The 15,484-nt window shown below is 36.4% G+C and overlaps 1 protein-coding gene across 3 annotated transcripts in view; it reads left to right on the forward strand.

Annotated features, from left to right (window-relative positions):
* Window positions 1-13,839, forward strand: part of RB1 (RB transcriptional corepressor 1) — a 178,140-nt gene extending 164,301 nt beyond the window's left edge. Inside the window, exons 24-27 of one of the 3 annotated variants that reach the window (NM_001407165.1) lie at window positions 5,309-5,339; window positions 8,650-8,792; window positions 9,304-9,353; window positions 11,928-13,839. In NM_001407165.1, the coding sequence (NP_001394094.1) occupies window positions 5,309-5,339; window positions 8,650-8,792; window positions 9,304-9,353; window positions 11,928-11,986 (283 nt within the window). In that variant the 3' untranslated portion in view covers window positions 11,987-13,839. Of the gene's footprint in view, window positions 1-5,308; window positions 5,340-8,398; window positions 8,472-8,649; window positions 8,793-9,303; window positions 9,354-11,927 lie in introns of those variants that run through there. The other 2 variants (NM_000321.3, NM_001407168.1) reach the window with 2 other exon arrangements.

The following is a 15,484-nucleotide window of genomic DNA, read 5'->3' on the forward strand; positions in this document are numbered from 1 at the left end:
AGCAGACCTAATAGACATCTACAGAACTCTCCACCCCAAATCAACAGAATATACCTTTTTTTCAGCACCACACCACACCTATTCCAAAATTGACCACATAGTTGGAAGTAAAGCTCTCCTCAGCAAATGTAAAAGAACAGAAATTATAACAAACTATCTCTCAGACCACAGTGCAATCAAACTAGAACTCAGGATTAAGAATCTCACTCAAAGCCGCTCAACTACATGGAAACTGAACAACCTGCTCCTGAATGACTACTGGGTACATAACGAAATGAAGGCAGAAATAAAGATGTTCTTTGAAACCAACGAGAACAAAGACACCACATACCAGAATCTCTGGGACACATTCAAAGCAGTGTGTAGAGGGAAATTTATAGCACTAAATGCCTACAAGAGAAAGCAGGAAAGATCCAAAATTGACACCCTAACATCACAATTAAAAGAACTAGAAAAGCAAGAGCAAACACATTCAAAAGCTAGCAGAAGGCAAGAAATAACTAAAATCAGAGCAGAACTGAAGGAAATAGAGACACAAAAAACCCTTCAAAAAAATCAATGAATCCAGGAGCTGGTTTTTTGAAAGGATCAACAAAATTGATAGACCGCTAGCAAGACTAATAAAGAAAAAAAGAGAGAAGAATCAAATAGACACAATAAAAAATGATAAAGGGGATATCACCACCGATCCCACAGAAATACAAACTACCATCAGAGAATACTACAAACACCTCTACGCAAATAAACTAGAAAATCTAGAGGAAATGGATACATTCCTCGACACATACACTCTCCCAAGACTAAACCAGGAAGAAGTTGAATCTCTGAATAGACCAATAACAGGCTCTGAAATTGTGGCAATAATCAATAGTTTACCAACCAAAAAGAGTCCAGGACCAGATGGATTCACAGCCGAATTCTACCAGAGGTACAAGGAGGAACTGGTACCATTCCTTCTGAAACTATTCCAATCAATAGAAAAAGAGGGAATCCTCCCTAACTCATTTTATGAGGCCAGCATCATTCTGATACCAAAGCCGGGCAGAGACACAGCCAAAAAAGAGAATTTTAGACCAATATCCTTGATGAACATTGATGCAAAAATCCTCAATAAAATACTGGCAAACCGAATCCAGCAGCACATCAAAAAGCTTATCCACCATGATCAAGTGGGCTTCATCCCTGGGATGCAAGGCTGGTTCAATATACGCAAATCAATAAATGTAATCCAGCATATAAACAGAGCCAAAGACAAAAACCACATGATTATCTCAATAGATGCAGAAAAAGCCTTTGACAAAATTCAACAACCCTTCATGCTAAAAACTCTCAATAAATTAGGTATTGATGGGACATATTTCAAAATAATAAGAGCTATCTATGACAAACCCACAGCCAATATCATACTGAATGGGCAAAAACTGGAAGCATTCCCTTTGAAAACTGGCACAAGACAGGGATGCCCTCTCTCACCGCTCCTATTCAACATAGTGTTGGAAGTTCTGGCCAGGGCAATCAGGCAGGAGAAGGAAATAAAGGGTATTCAATTAGGAAAAGAGGAAGTCAAATTGTCCCTGTTTGCAGATGACATGATTGTTTATCTAGAAAACCCCATCGTCTCAGCCCAAAATCTCCTTAAGCTGATAAGCAACTTCAGCAAAGTCTCAGGATACAAAATCAATGTACAAAAATCACAAGCATTCTTATACACCAACAACAGACAAACAGAGAGCCAAATCATGAGTGAACTCCCATTCACAATTGCTTCAAAGAGAATAAAATACCTAGGAATCCAACTTACAAGAGATGTGAAGGACCTCTTCAAGGAGAACTACAAACCACTGCTCAAGGAAATAAAAGAGGACACAAACAAATGGAAGAACATTCCATGCTCATGGGTAGGAAGAATCAATATCGTGAAAATGGCCATACTGCCCAAGGTAATTTACAGATTCGATGCCATCCCCATCAAGCTACCAATGACTTTCTTCACAGAATTGGAAAAAACTACTTTAAAGTTCATATGGAACCAAAAAAGAGCCCGCATCGCCAAGTCAATCCTAAGCCAAAAGAACAAAGCTGGAGGCATCACACTACCTGACTTCAAACTATACTACAAGGCTACAGTAACCAAAACAGCATGGTACTGGTACCAAAACAGAGATATAGATCAATGGAACAGAACAGAGCCCTCAGAAATAATGCCGCATATCTACAACTATCTGATCTTTGACAAACCTGAGAAAAACAAGCAATGGGGAAAGGATTCCCTATTTAATAAATGGTGCTGGGAAAACTGGCTAGCCATATGTAGAAAGCTGAAACTGGATCCCTTCCTTACACCTTATACAAAAATCAATTCAAGATGGATTAAAGATTTAAACGTTAGACCTAAAACCATAAAAACCCTAGAAGAAAACCTAGGCATTACCATTCAGGACATAGGCGTGGGCAAGGACTTCATGTCCAAAACACCAAAAGCAATGGCAACAAAAGCCAAAATTGACAAATGGGATCTAATTAAACTCAAGAGCTTCTGCGCAGCAAAAGAAACTACCATCAGAGTGAACAGGCAACCTACAACATGGGAGAAAATTTTCGCAACCTACTCATCTGACAAAGGGCTAATATCCAGAATCTACAATGAACTCAAACAAATTTACAAGAAAAAAACAACCCTATCAAAAAGTGGGCGAAGGACATGAACAGACACTTCTCAAAAGAAGACATTTATGCAGCCAAAAAACACATGAAGAAATGCTCATCATCACTGGCCATCAGAGAAATGCAAATCAAAACCACTATGAGATATCATCTCACACCAGTTAGAATGGCAATCATTAAAAAGTCAGGAAACAACAGGTGCTGGAGAGGATGTGGAGAAATAGGAACACTTTTACACTGTTGGTGGGACTGTAAACTAGTTCAACCATTGTGGAAGTCAGTGTAGCGATTCCTCAGGGATCTAGAACTAGAAATACCATTTGACCCAGCCATCCCATTACTGGGTATATACCCAAAGGACTATAAATCATGCTGCTATAAAGACACATGCACACGTATGTTTATTGTGGCACTATTCACAATAGCAAAGACTTGGAACCAACCCAAATGTCCAACAATGATAGACTGGATTAAGAAAATGTGGCACATATACACCATGGAATACTATGCAGCCATAAAAAATGATGAGTTCATGTCCTTTGTAGGGACATGGATGAAATTGGAAACCATCATTCTCAGTAAACTATCGCAAGAACAAAAAACCAAACACCGCATATTCTCACTCATAGGTGGGAATTGAACAATGAGATCACATGGACACAGGAAGGGGAATATCACACTCTGGGGACTGTGGTGGGGTCGGGGGAGGGGGGAGGGATAGCATTGGGAGATATACCTAATGCTAGATGACACGTTAGTGGGTGCAGCACACCAGCATGGCACATGTATACATATGTAACTAACCTGCACAATGTGCACATGTACCCTAAAACTTAGAGTATAATAAAAAATATAAATAAAAAAAAAAAAAAGAAAATCTATTTACTTGGATGGGTTTACAGATTTAGTTATCAGCTTTCCTGACTGTTAGGTATCTTCTTTTGAGAACAATTTGAGAACCAGTTTGGTTATATGTTTCAAAACACTTTTATATTTTTTAAATAGCCAATCTGCTAAACAAAGCAGGTTACTTTAGGTTGAGTACTTTTAGTTTGCAGTTTATTGGATGTCCTGTAAGTTTTGCTTCCTGTGGATTTTTTTCCTTTTGCTTGTTATATTAAATGTAGATTACTGTCAATTAAGTCTTTAGAGGTCCATCCCTAATCCTGCTGGCGGCCTCTTTACCACCTCACCTTGGGCAGGTCTCTATCTGTACTTCACAAGGGTGCTGTGGATCAGGGAAATGATGAGTATGAAGCTGTTTTAAATTCTCAGATGAAAGGTTGTATGCAACTACAAATCATTATATTATCTTCCACATCCAACCACAAGTGCTCTCTAGCTTTGAAGTGCTTCAGTTGACTAATTATATGTTATCATGGGCTATTTGAAACTGACTTTATTTGTGTGAAGTAGGAGGCAGATTAGCTAGTATAGTTAATGTAGTCTCATCTCAGAAATTATCAGCCCATATGGTTGTACCTAATGGGCAAGAAAAGGGGGCATATGTTGGCCTTTCAGAAAATATTTGCATGGTATATTTAATTATTTAAGTAGTACGTACTCATTATAAAAATTTCAAACTCTACAGAAAAATATGAAGTAAGAAATAATTGGCAATATGATACAAATGCTCTCATGTGTCTCTGTATCATCCTTTATTTATTTGGTGTTCTTGTAGTTGGATATCTGTGTACTGATATCTACTACTTGTTCTAAGCTGCTAAGATGCCACGTCATGTCTATTTAAGAAAATTTACATTGTTCCATGCCACTATATGAAAATGTATACTTAGGTAGTTTTTTTTAATAGTGATAATTAGTCCATATTATGGTGATAATGATGGCTACTTGCTGATCCTTAGTGAAATAAATTCTGTGTTGGTATTCTTCAGCAAAAACGTCACATTCTGAACATCCTAACTAATAAATCATTGACCAGGCATTAGGAGAGCATCTTAACACTCTACCCAGTACATTTAGGTACTCTGGTTAATCAAATATTATATGTAGAGTGATGGCCACTTATCAAGGAATTGGAGGGCAAAAAAATCTCTATATTCACTAGTTCCATGTTCATGTTTTCAAATCTTTGTCGAGTCATGTCAGGCTAATGATGTTCTTCAGCTTTATTATAAAGAACATAAATTATATGGTTCAAATAAAGACAGACTAATAAAGATTTCTGACTCTATGATATATGATAAATAGCCTTTACTATATCAATATAGATGCTAATTAGAATTCTGATTATTACTTAATATTCTAAGTTTTTTCCAAATATAACTTGAATTTTAAATGAGAAAATATGAAAGAAATTTGATAACTTACCCATTGATTTATGAAGAACTAAGTAGGGGTAACCTTGAAACTTGCCTTTGCCCTCCCTAAATATGGGCAATGGCAGAATATGTTCTTGCAGACCTATAACTTTTGCTTTAAAACTAAGAGACTAGGTGAGTATATGATTAGACGGGCACTGTTAGAATAATTCCCAAATGAATATAGTTTGTCAGTGGTTCTAGGGTAGAGGTAACCTTTAATTTGGTATTCCTAATAGTTCAGAATGATGTATTTATGCTCATCTCTGCAAAATTGTATATGGTTTTTTATTACTAATTGGTATTTCATCTTAACTTGACAGAATCTTAGTATCAATTGGTGAATCATTCGGGGTGAGTATTTTCTTTCTATGAAATATAATAGTATGCATTGTAAGTATAAAAGAAATTAAAGCTTTCTATAATTTGAATTTCCAAATGCAGTTATTCAAACACCTCATCCAGGCATATTGCATAGAATTTTATGAGATATATATATCTCAGATTTACTTTCAAATCAAGTTTAATCTCAAATCATACTCCTAATTGGTGAACTTCAAAACTTTTCTAAATATCCACTTGAGATTATATAATACATATATACATTTGTGTATATACATACATATATACGTGAGCTGTTTTTGCTCACAACATTTCTATCACCAAATGTGTGAGATTTTTTTCTCACCCAAATCTATTCTTCAACTCTCTGGTGTTCTACAATTCAATTCAATTCTGACACTAATTACCCAGAGTCAGCATCAGACTCCACAGGTTCAAGGGCTCAGTCCCACAAAAATGGTCTCACTGCAGACACCAGTCACAAGTGTCAGGTCCCCAGGCTACACCACACTTCCGTCTGACTTGAATACGAAGTTGGGGGGTTCCGATAGTGCCTCTTCCTTACAGTTTGATCCACTGCCAGAACTACTCACAAAACTCTGGAAAATATTCTACTTACTATTATCAGTTCATCATAAAAGATACAAATGAACAGCCAGATGAAGAAATATTATATAGGGTGAGGTCCAGAAGAGTCCCTAGCACAGGGGCTTCTGTCCCTGGGGAGTTGGGGTGCACCACCTTCCTAGCACTTAGACATGTTTACCAACTCCAAAGATCTCCCAACCTTATTGTTGAGGGGTTTTTATGGGGGTTTCATTATATAGGCATAATTGATTAACTCAATTTCCAACCCCCTCCCCTCCCTGGATAGAGGGTGGGGCTGAAAGTTCCAAGCTTCTACTCAAGACTTGGTCTTTCTGGCAACCAGCTTCCATCCTAAATTAGCTAGGTACCCACCAAGTATCACCTCATTAGAACAAAAGATGGTCCCATCACCCTTATCACACATGAAATTCGAAGGGTTTTAGGAGCTCTGTCCCAGGAACCAGGGACAAAGACCAAATATCTTTCAATGATACCATGTATGTATGTACATAACCTCACAGGAATCTTTATAAAACAATTTTGAAATTCACTCATTATGAGTGTGATTTGAAATGAGATACTCCAAAATGTAAGCCCGATATCCAAATGTCACCAGCCTGTCCCTGCCTACTGGTCTCCTTCCATACATATGCACTTTTTGCTTGTCCTTCCTCTCAGACTTCTAGGATATTCTTTTTCTGGTACACTGATTAGGAATTGTTTGCATGAGATCCTGCCTCAGTGAAAGTGGCAGAGCTTCATTCTAGGAGATCCAAGGGAAAGCTTTGCTTTGAAACATTTATTCTAGGCTGCAAATCCACAACCCTAGTTGGCCTTCCATTAAAGTCACTAATTCAGCAGTCCCATATTCAATATGCATTACTGTTAATATGTTGCACCATCTCCATTCCCCTGAGAGCTTATATTTTTAATTTTTAAATTTTTATTTTTAGAGACAGTGTCTCACTCTGTCACCTACTTATTATAACCTCAAACTCCTCGGCCCAAGCAGTCCTCTCACCTTAGCCTCCCAAGTTGCCAGGACTACAGGCATGCACCACCATGTCCAGCTAATTTTTAAATTTTTTGTAGAGACAGGGTTTTCTATGTTGGCCAGATTGGTATTGAACTCCTGGCTTCCACGATACCCCGTCTCAGCCTCCCAAAGAACTGGGATTACAGATGTGAGCCACTGCACCTGGCCAGAGAGCTTATATTCTTATAGGAATGGGAAGACTGCCTATGTTATGTGTTGCTACATAATACATTACCCCCAAACTTAGTGACTTAAAACAAACGCTTATTATCTCCATTTCTGTGGGTCAATAATCTAGGCATGACTTAGCTGGGCCAGAGTTTCTCCAAAGTCTGTGATCAAGGTGTCAGTTGGGCTGGGCCTGCAGTCATCTCAAGGCTCCACTAGAGGAGCATTCACTGGCAGACTTATTCAAATGGCTGTTGGCTGATCCTCGATGGCTATTGGCCCCTCTATTGGTTTCTTGCCCTTGGGCCCCTCCATAGTACTGCTTGCTATTCACAACATGGCAGCTTGCTTTGCCCAGAGCAGGGACTCTGAGGGAGGCAGGGAAATAAAGAGCAAGAGAGAGGTCACAGTCTTATTGTAATCTAATTCTGGAAATGACAGCCCATTACTTTTGGCATATTATTTTGGTTAGAAGCAAGACAACAGTAGATCTAGCCCACACACGAGGGGAGGAGGATCACACAAGGAGGTGAATACCAGGAGGTGGGGTCATTGGGAGCCATCTGAGAGGCTGCCCACCACACTGCCTCAAGTAACTAGGGAGAGGTAAAAGTTTATATGCCAGATGACCAAATATTAAAATGTGTGTTACAAATAGTTCACGATGGGCTCAGCTGTCAGACTTTACAAAGGAGCTATGGGACCTTATAAGGACAGTTGGAACTGGCTAGGTATCACATAGTGGTCTTCAAACATTTTTGCTTGCCATAACCTCTAAAATAATTGGGAAAAAGTTGAATGTACTTCCATATCTTAAAGCTGATAATTTAAAATATTATACATTTAATAGCAGCACGGGATTTAGTTTTTGTTAAATTGTATATGTGCTCCAAATAGATTTACCATCAAAACCTGTTTTGAATTTAATATTGGGAGAATTCGCTAGTTTAATTTTTGGAAAATAAAGTATAATTGGCAAAGCTAATCCTCACTGTTGAATCTATCCGTCAAATCAGATATAATTTCTATCAGAAAGTCTATATGACTTGTCAACATAATACCCATAAAGTGAATCAAAAATTATTATTCATTGAACACATCATCTCTTATCAAATTCTTGTGACCTTCCTTCTGGTTGTATAATAGCCTAAAAAACAAAAAAAGGACAAAAGCAAGTTTCCAGAAAGCTGTTCTGACTTGCCTACTTCTGAAAAGTAGTCCTGTATGGTGGGTTCTGAAAATGAGGAACCAGGACTTGCAGAGTAGGCAGTTGCTGGAGGAAGAATGTGAGCTGCATGGGAAAAGACAGGAGGATTTACAAAGAGTGGGTGTTTAATTGGGGATGGAATTAGGTAGTTATTCTGATTTTTAGATTTTTCATATCTTTTATTTGGTCCAATGAAGCAGAAAATTTAAATGAAGTTATTACCTTTGCCTGATTTTTGACACACCTCAAACTATAACTTGAGGTTGCTAACTATGAAACACTGGCATTTAATGATTTAAAGTAAAGAATTCTGTAATTTGTAGACTTCTGAGAAGTTCCAGAAAATAAATCAGATGGTATGTAACAGCGACCGTGTGCTCAAAAGAAGTGCTGAAGGAAGCAACCCTCCTAAACCACTGAAAAAACTACGCTTTGATATTGAAGGATCAGATGAAGCAGATGGAAGGTAGGAACCAGTTTTGAATGTTTTCCAGTAGCCGAGATGGTCATCTGGGGAATCCAGAGTCTCAGCACTGCTCCTGGCTTATACCAATTTCTTTCATGCCAAGTTTATTTGGAAGTTGTGAGAATGGCTCAAAATAATAGATATGAGTGTAGTGCAAAGTTAAAAACATCTTACAAATTGCATACCAACATTCAGTGAAGATATCTAATAAACCCTGATCTTTTTTACAAAGCTATTGATAAAATTTTGTTATTCTTAACATTAAATTTAAAAATGTTTACTCTTGAAAAATATTAACCACTGTATTTTGTGAGAACCACTGAAAAAATACATAGCATCATAAATTTGTGACATTTATGTTTTAGATGGTTAGTTTTTAAATTTTAAAATTAAAAGCTACTCACTAAAATAATAGCATAAAGTAAGTCATCGAAAGCATCATAGTTACTGGAAATTTGAGTTTTCCATTTATAAATACACATGAAATGTTTTGCATTTTTTTAATCTGCAGTAAACATCTCCCAGGAGAGTCCAAATTTCAGCAGAAACTGGCAGAAATGAGTAAGTACTTTTTTCACCTTGTGTAAATGAAATAAACAATTGTTTACACTGCAAGAAGTCTTTTCGTTATATAAAAGAATGTATAATTTCTTCAGTTGGCAGGTTTGTTTATGCATTTAAAATATAATTCAATCAAGGTTATTTATCTACAAACATTTGTGGATTAAATGTATGATGTAAAATGAAGGTCATTTTTACCCTTTCTATGATCTTTCATGCAGGAAGACTAAGAAGTGAAACATTGCTTGACCACATTCAACACAAATGGCTACAGTTAGAAAATACTTTAGCAGAACTACAAAGAGGAGCTATTTGGGAGTGTTAGATATAGGGAAAAGTTTTATAAACCTAGCATATGTAAACATCATCACCCTTATTTAAGGAATAACCTTTGATTCTACCATTTTTAAACTTTCCTTATTTGCAAATCTTAAAACAATTTCAAACAAAAGTTTCCATTACTGGAAATCAGAATTTTAATAAAGAACACTTATGTCATTTTCCAAGTTATACAGAGTGATATCATGTTAGGGTAAGTGGAATTCTATTCAAAACTACTCTGAGACTAGACAAAAAAAATAATCCAAGGATAGTAGATGGAAAGCACATTAGGAAAGAGATAAATGTTCACTAACTACTATTGGGTTGTCTTAGGTAGTTATGGTAGTGAGTGTAACATTTCCCAGTATCTGCTGCCAGATCCATTGATAGGAAAAGGAACTGGGATTTTGAAAGAAGACAAATATTCAGGAGATAGGTGTTAAAACAATCATTCCTAGGTCACAGGACACACTAATGAGAACAATACCAATTAAAATGAGAGGCTTTCTTTTAATACATCTTTGTAGATACTAACTTTGAAAATAAGATATTTAAAAGGATGCTTTTTTTCTATGTATTTTTTTAAAGTGTAATTAAAACTAAATAACTAAAACAAAATTTTCTAGTTATAAATGAATCTCTTTTTGGATTTTATGTCAACTTACATATTCCTATTTTAACTCTTAAATAGTTGCATCTTTTCCCCTCAGTACATGAAAATAGACAAGAGGCTCATAACCAAAATCAGGCCTTGAAGACATATGGAAACATTTTGGAACCCACAAATATGCACTTAAAAAGGAGCTGAAAGCTGTAAAAACATGTATATTTTCTTAGAGAAGTGTTCAGTTGCTATAGTTAGTACATTTCCCAGTGACACACTTAGCTATGATGGCGAGCTTCCTCTGCCAGGCCAAAGTTCAGGACCTTTGTGCATCTACAAAATTGTGACAAAGCAGGCAGAATTTTAACCCCTGAGGCTAAGGCATTTCTTTAGGATGCTCTTCAGCTTTTCTTAAAGAATTACATTTAGAAAAGATCATCATACAATGCTGGATTGCCCAGAATGGAAGGGCATTCCATTTTTCCAAATGTGCTTCTTTATAAAGAACTCATGCCTACCTCTAAAATCAAGTTAAGAATTTTTAAGAAATTTAATAAGTATCCCGGCTTTGTCTATATTGTAATTCATAATATGCTTTTAACATGGCCATGCCCCGGGTAGGCATGATGGCTTATGTCTGTAATACCAGCACTATGGGAGGGCAAGGTGAGAGGATTGCTTGAGGCCAGGAGTTCAAGACCAGCCTGGGCAACATAGCAAGACCCCATCTTTACAAAAAAATCCAAAAATTAGCCAGGCCTGGTGGCATGTGCCTGTAGTCTTGGCTACTGGAGAGGCTGAGGTGAGAGAATTGCTTGAGCCCAGAAGGTCAAAGCTGTAGTGAGCCATGATCATGCCACTGCACTCCAGCTTGGGCAACAGAGCAAGACCTTGTCTCAAAAAAAAAAAATCCATGCCCAGTTTAAATGAGCTATGATTTGATGTATTTGCAGTACCTGCAAGGCATCTGCAAACATAAGGGAACCTATAGCTTTGTAAAGAATACCACCACTCACTCTGGCAGATTCAGTCTGGGCCAGCCGAGTATTCTAGTCTGCTGAAGTATATGCCAAGCATCAACCACCTCATCTCTAGAATAGTGGCCTACAAAATGGGGCATACCTGAAGTATGCAAAGTCATCTTTTGGGGTACATAAAGTAGAAGTTCTATTTATCTCATTTTAATGTTTGCTTGGGGTATGTGTTTTATAATTTGTACATACATACGTATTTTTGTGGTACAGGCTTGGAAAAAAATTTACTCACAGGGATATATGATTTTTAAAGATTTGGAGACCACTGTTTTTTTGGGGGGTGGGGAGGGAATTTTTTTTTTAATTGATATATCATAGTTATACATATTTTAGGGGTACATGTGATGTTTTGATACGTGTACACAATGTGTAATGATCAAATCAGGGTTATTGGGATATATATCACCTCAAACATTTTTCTTTGCATTGGGAACATTACAATTCTAGCTATTTTGAAATATGCAGTAAATTAACTGTAACTCCCTACGGTACTGTCAAATACTAGAATGAAGACCACTGCTTTTGCAAGGTCCTGAGCGCCATCAGTTTGACATGAGCATAATATATATGGCAGCCACTTGCCAACTTACCCAGTACCATCAATGCTGTTAACAGTTCTTCATCCTTTTTCCAGCTTCTACTCGAACACGAATGCAAAAGCAGAAAATGAATGATAGCATGGATACCTCAAACAAGGAAGAGAAATGAGGATCTCAGGACCTTGGTGGACACTGTGTACACCTCTGGATTCATTGTCTCTCACAGATGTGACTGTATAACTTTCCCAGGTTCTGTTTATGGCCACATTTAATATCTTCAGCTCTTTTTGTGGATATAAAATGTGCAGATGCAATTGTTTGGGTGATTCCTAAGCCACTTGAAATGTTAGTCATTGTTATTTATACAAGATTGAAAATCTTGTGTAAATCCTGCCATTTAAAAAGTTGTAGCAGATTGTTTCCTCTTCCAAAGTAAAATTGCTGTGCTTTATGGATAGTAAGAATGGCCCTAGAGTGGGAGTCCTGATAACCCAGGCCTGTCTGACTACTTTGCCTTCTTTTGTAGCATATAGGTGATGTTTGCTCTTGTTTTTATTAATTTATATGTATATTTTTTTAATTTAACATGAACACCCTTAGAAAATGTGTCCTATCTATCTTCCAAATGCAATTTGATTGACTGCCCATTCACCAAAATTATCCTGAACTCTTCTGCAAAAATGGATATTATTAGAAATTAGAAAAAAATTACTAATTTTACACATTAGATTTTATTTTACTATTGGAATCTGATATACTGTGTGCTTGTTTTATAAAATTTTGCTTTTAATTAAATAAAAGCTGGAAGCAAAGTATAACCATATGATACTATCATACTACTGAAACAGATTTCATACCTCAGAATGTAAAAGAACTTACTGATTATTTTCTTCATCCAACTTATGTTTTTAAATGAGGATTATTGATAGTACTCTTGGTTTTTATACCATTCAGATCACTGAATTTATAAAGTACCCATCTAGTACTTGAAAAAGTAAAGTGTTCTGCCAGATCTTAGGTATAGAGGACCCTAACACAGTATATCCCAAGTGCACTTTCTAATGTTTCTGGGTCCTGAAGAATTAAGATACAAATTAATTTTACTCCATAAACAGACTGTTAATTATAGGAGCCTTAATTTTTTTTTCATAGAGATTTGTCTAATTGCATCTCAAAATTATTCTGCCCTCCTTAATTTGGGAAGGTTTGTGTTTTCTCTGGAATGGTACATGTCTTCCATGTATCTTTTGAACTGGCAATTGTCTATTTATCTTTTATTTTTTTAAGTCAGTATGGTCTAACACTGGCATGTTCAAAGCCACATTATTTCTAGTCCAAAATTACAAGTAATCAAGGGTCATTATGGGTTAGGCATTAATGTTTCTATCTGATTTTGTGCAAAAGCTTCAAATTAAAACAGCTGCATTAGAAAAAGAGGCGCTTCTCCCCTCCCCTACACCTAAAGGTGTATTTAAACTATCTTGTGTGATTAACTTATTTAGAGATGCTGTAACTTAAAATAGGGGATATTTAAGGTAGCTTCAGCTAGCTTTTAGGAAAATCACTTTGTCTAACTCAGAATTATTTTTAAAAAGAAATCTGGTCTTGTTAGAAAACAAAATTTTATTTTGTGCTCATTTAAGTTTCAAACTTACTATTTTGACAGTTATTTTGATAACAATGACACTAGAAAACTTGACTCCATTTCATCATTGTTTCTGCATGAATATCATACAAATCAGTTAGTTTTTAGGTCAAGGGCTTACTATTTCTGGGTCTTTTGCTACTAAGTTCACATTAGAATTAGTGCCAGAATTTTAGGAACTTCAGAGATCGTGTATTGAGATTTCTTAAATAATGCTTCAGATATTATTGCTTTATTGCTTTTTTGTATTGGTTAAAACTGTACATTTAAAATTGCTATGTTACTATTTTCTACAATTAATAGTTTGTCTATTTTAAAATAAATTAGTTGTTAAGAGTCTTAATGGTCTGATGTTGTGTTCTTTGTATTAAGTACACTAATGTTCTCTTTTCTGTCTAGGAGAAGATAGATAGAAGATAACTCTCCTAGTATCTCATCCATTCCTAGCCTTTAAGGGGCTCTATATGCTAGAGATTTCCAAATTTATTTCTTCAGCCCTGATCTTTTCACAGAGGTCAAGGCTTTTATAGCCAACAGAACTCTTGATTCCTACTCCCCTCTACCCAATGTCTCCAAATATAAACTAAAATCAAATAAATAAAAATCTTTTTTTTCTACCCTGGTCTTTCTCCATTTTATTAAACATTTATCAAGTCAAAAACTTAGGAGCTATCTATTAATTCTTGTCTGGACCACTGCTAAAGACTTCTAACCAGTCTCCCTGTTCCCTTTCTTTCTTTACTGTCAAACTCCACAAAGAACAAAAATGATTGTTTAAAAATATAAATTGATTCACATTGCTCTCTACTTGAAGTACTTAACAGGAATTATAAAGCCCCTACTGACTTCCCATCCTCATCTTGTAGAATTTTCTCCTTGTCACTGTGCTTTAGCCACACTGAACCTTTTTCTTTAAAATGCCAAGCCTATTCTTACCTTAGGCTTTTATATTTCTTCTTCCTTCTGCCTGGAATACTCTTTTCCCACAGTTTTGCATAGCCAGTGCCTTTCTGTCTTTCAGAACTCAGCTCAGAGGGCTTCCTTGACCACCAAGCTAAAATCATCACTGTGTATTGTATCATTCTCCTTCAAAAGTGTAACAGCATCCATCTATGACTATTTCCCACCATCTGAAATTGCCTTTCTTGTTACCTGTCTCCCCATCCCTAGCCACTCCCCACCCCAGATTGTAACCATCAGCCTATCTATTCTTATTTACCACTTTAGGTCTAGCACCTAGAAAGTCCATCTGTAGAGTAAGAAACAGAATATATGTTTTCCATATTTTTCCAAGTATGTGACAACAAACAACACTCTCTTCCTCTTTTAAAATGCCATGTACTAGTATCTACCATATTCCAGGCACAGTTCTAAATGCTAGAGCTATAACAATGAATAAATAAAACCAAAATCCCCATCCTTGCAGAACTGACTTTCTAGTTTCAGGCAAAGAGAGCAAATGAATGAATAAATGAGGAATACATAGTATGTGAGATTGTATTAAAGACTGCAGAGAAAAACAAAGCAAAGAGGAGGGCAAGGAAGGCTGGTAGGGAAAGGAGTTTTAAAATTTAAAAGAGAGTGATCAGGGAAAGACTTGAGTGATATTTGGGCAAAGATCTGAAGGAGACAAGAGAGTGAGCCAGACACAAACAGGAGTCAAACATTCCACAGAGAGAGGTAGGAGTATGTCTGGTGTGTTTGAAGAACGATTAGGAGGTCATAGCAAAATGGGCAGCAAGTATCTCTCTTCGTCTAATGCAAAGTATAAAAGGCCTTTATGTATATTACAAGTCTATAATCCTTTATCTGTAGTTCCAAAATTGAGAAAGCTTTAAAATCCAGTGATTCTGTGTGTTTTGTGCCAAAAGTCATATGGCATCAAAACCATATGTAAACTGGCACAGAGCTATTTATAATCTTTATCATAATTGGAATATTCTCATTTCACTGCAGAAATATTAATATGTTTGATTGGGAGCTAACCC

This window comes from Homo sapiens, chromosome 13, assembly GCF_000001405.40.
Source record: "Homo sapiens chromosome 13, GRCh38.p14 Primary Assembly".
Classification (NCBI taxonomy): Eukaryota; Metazoa; Chordata; class Mammalia; order Primates; family Hominidae; genus Homo; species Homo sapiens.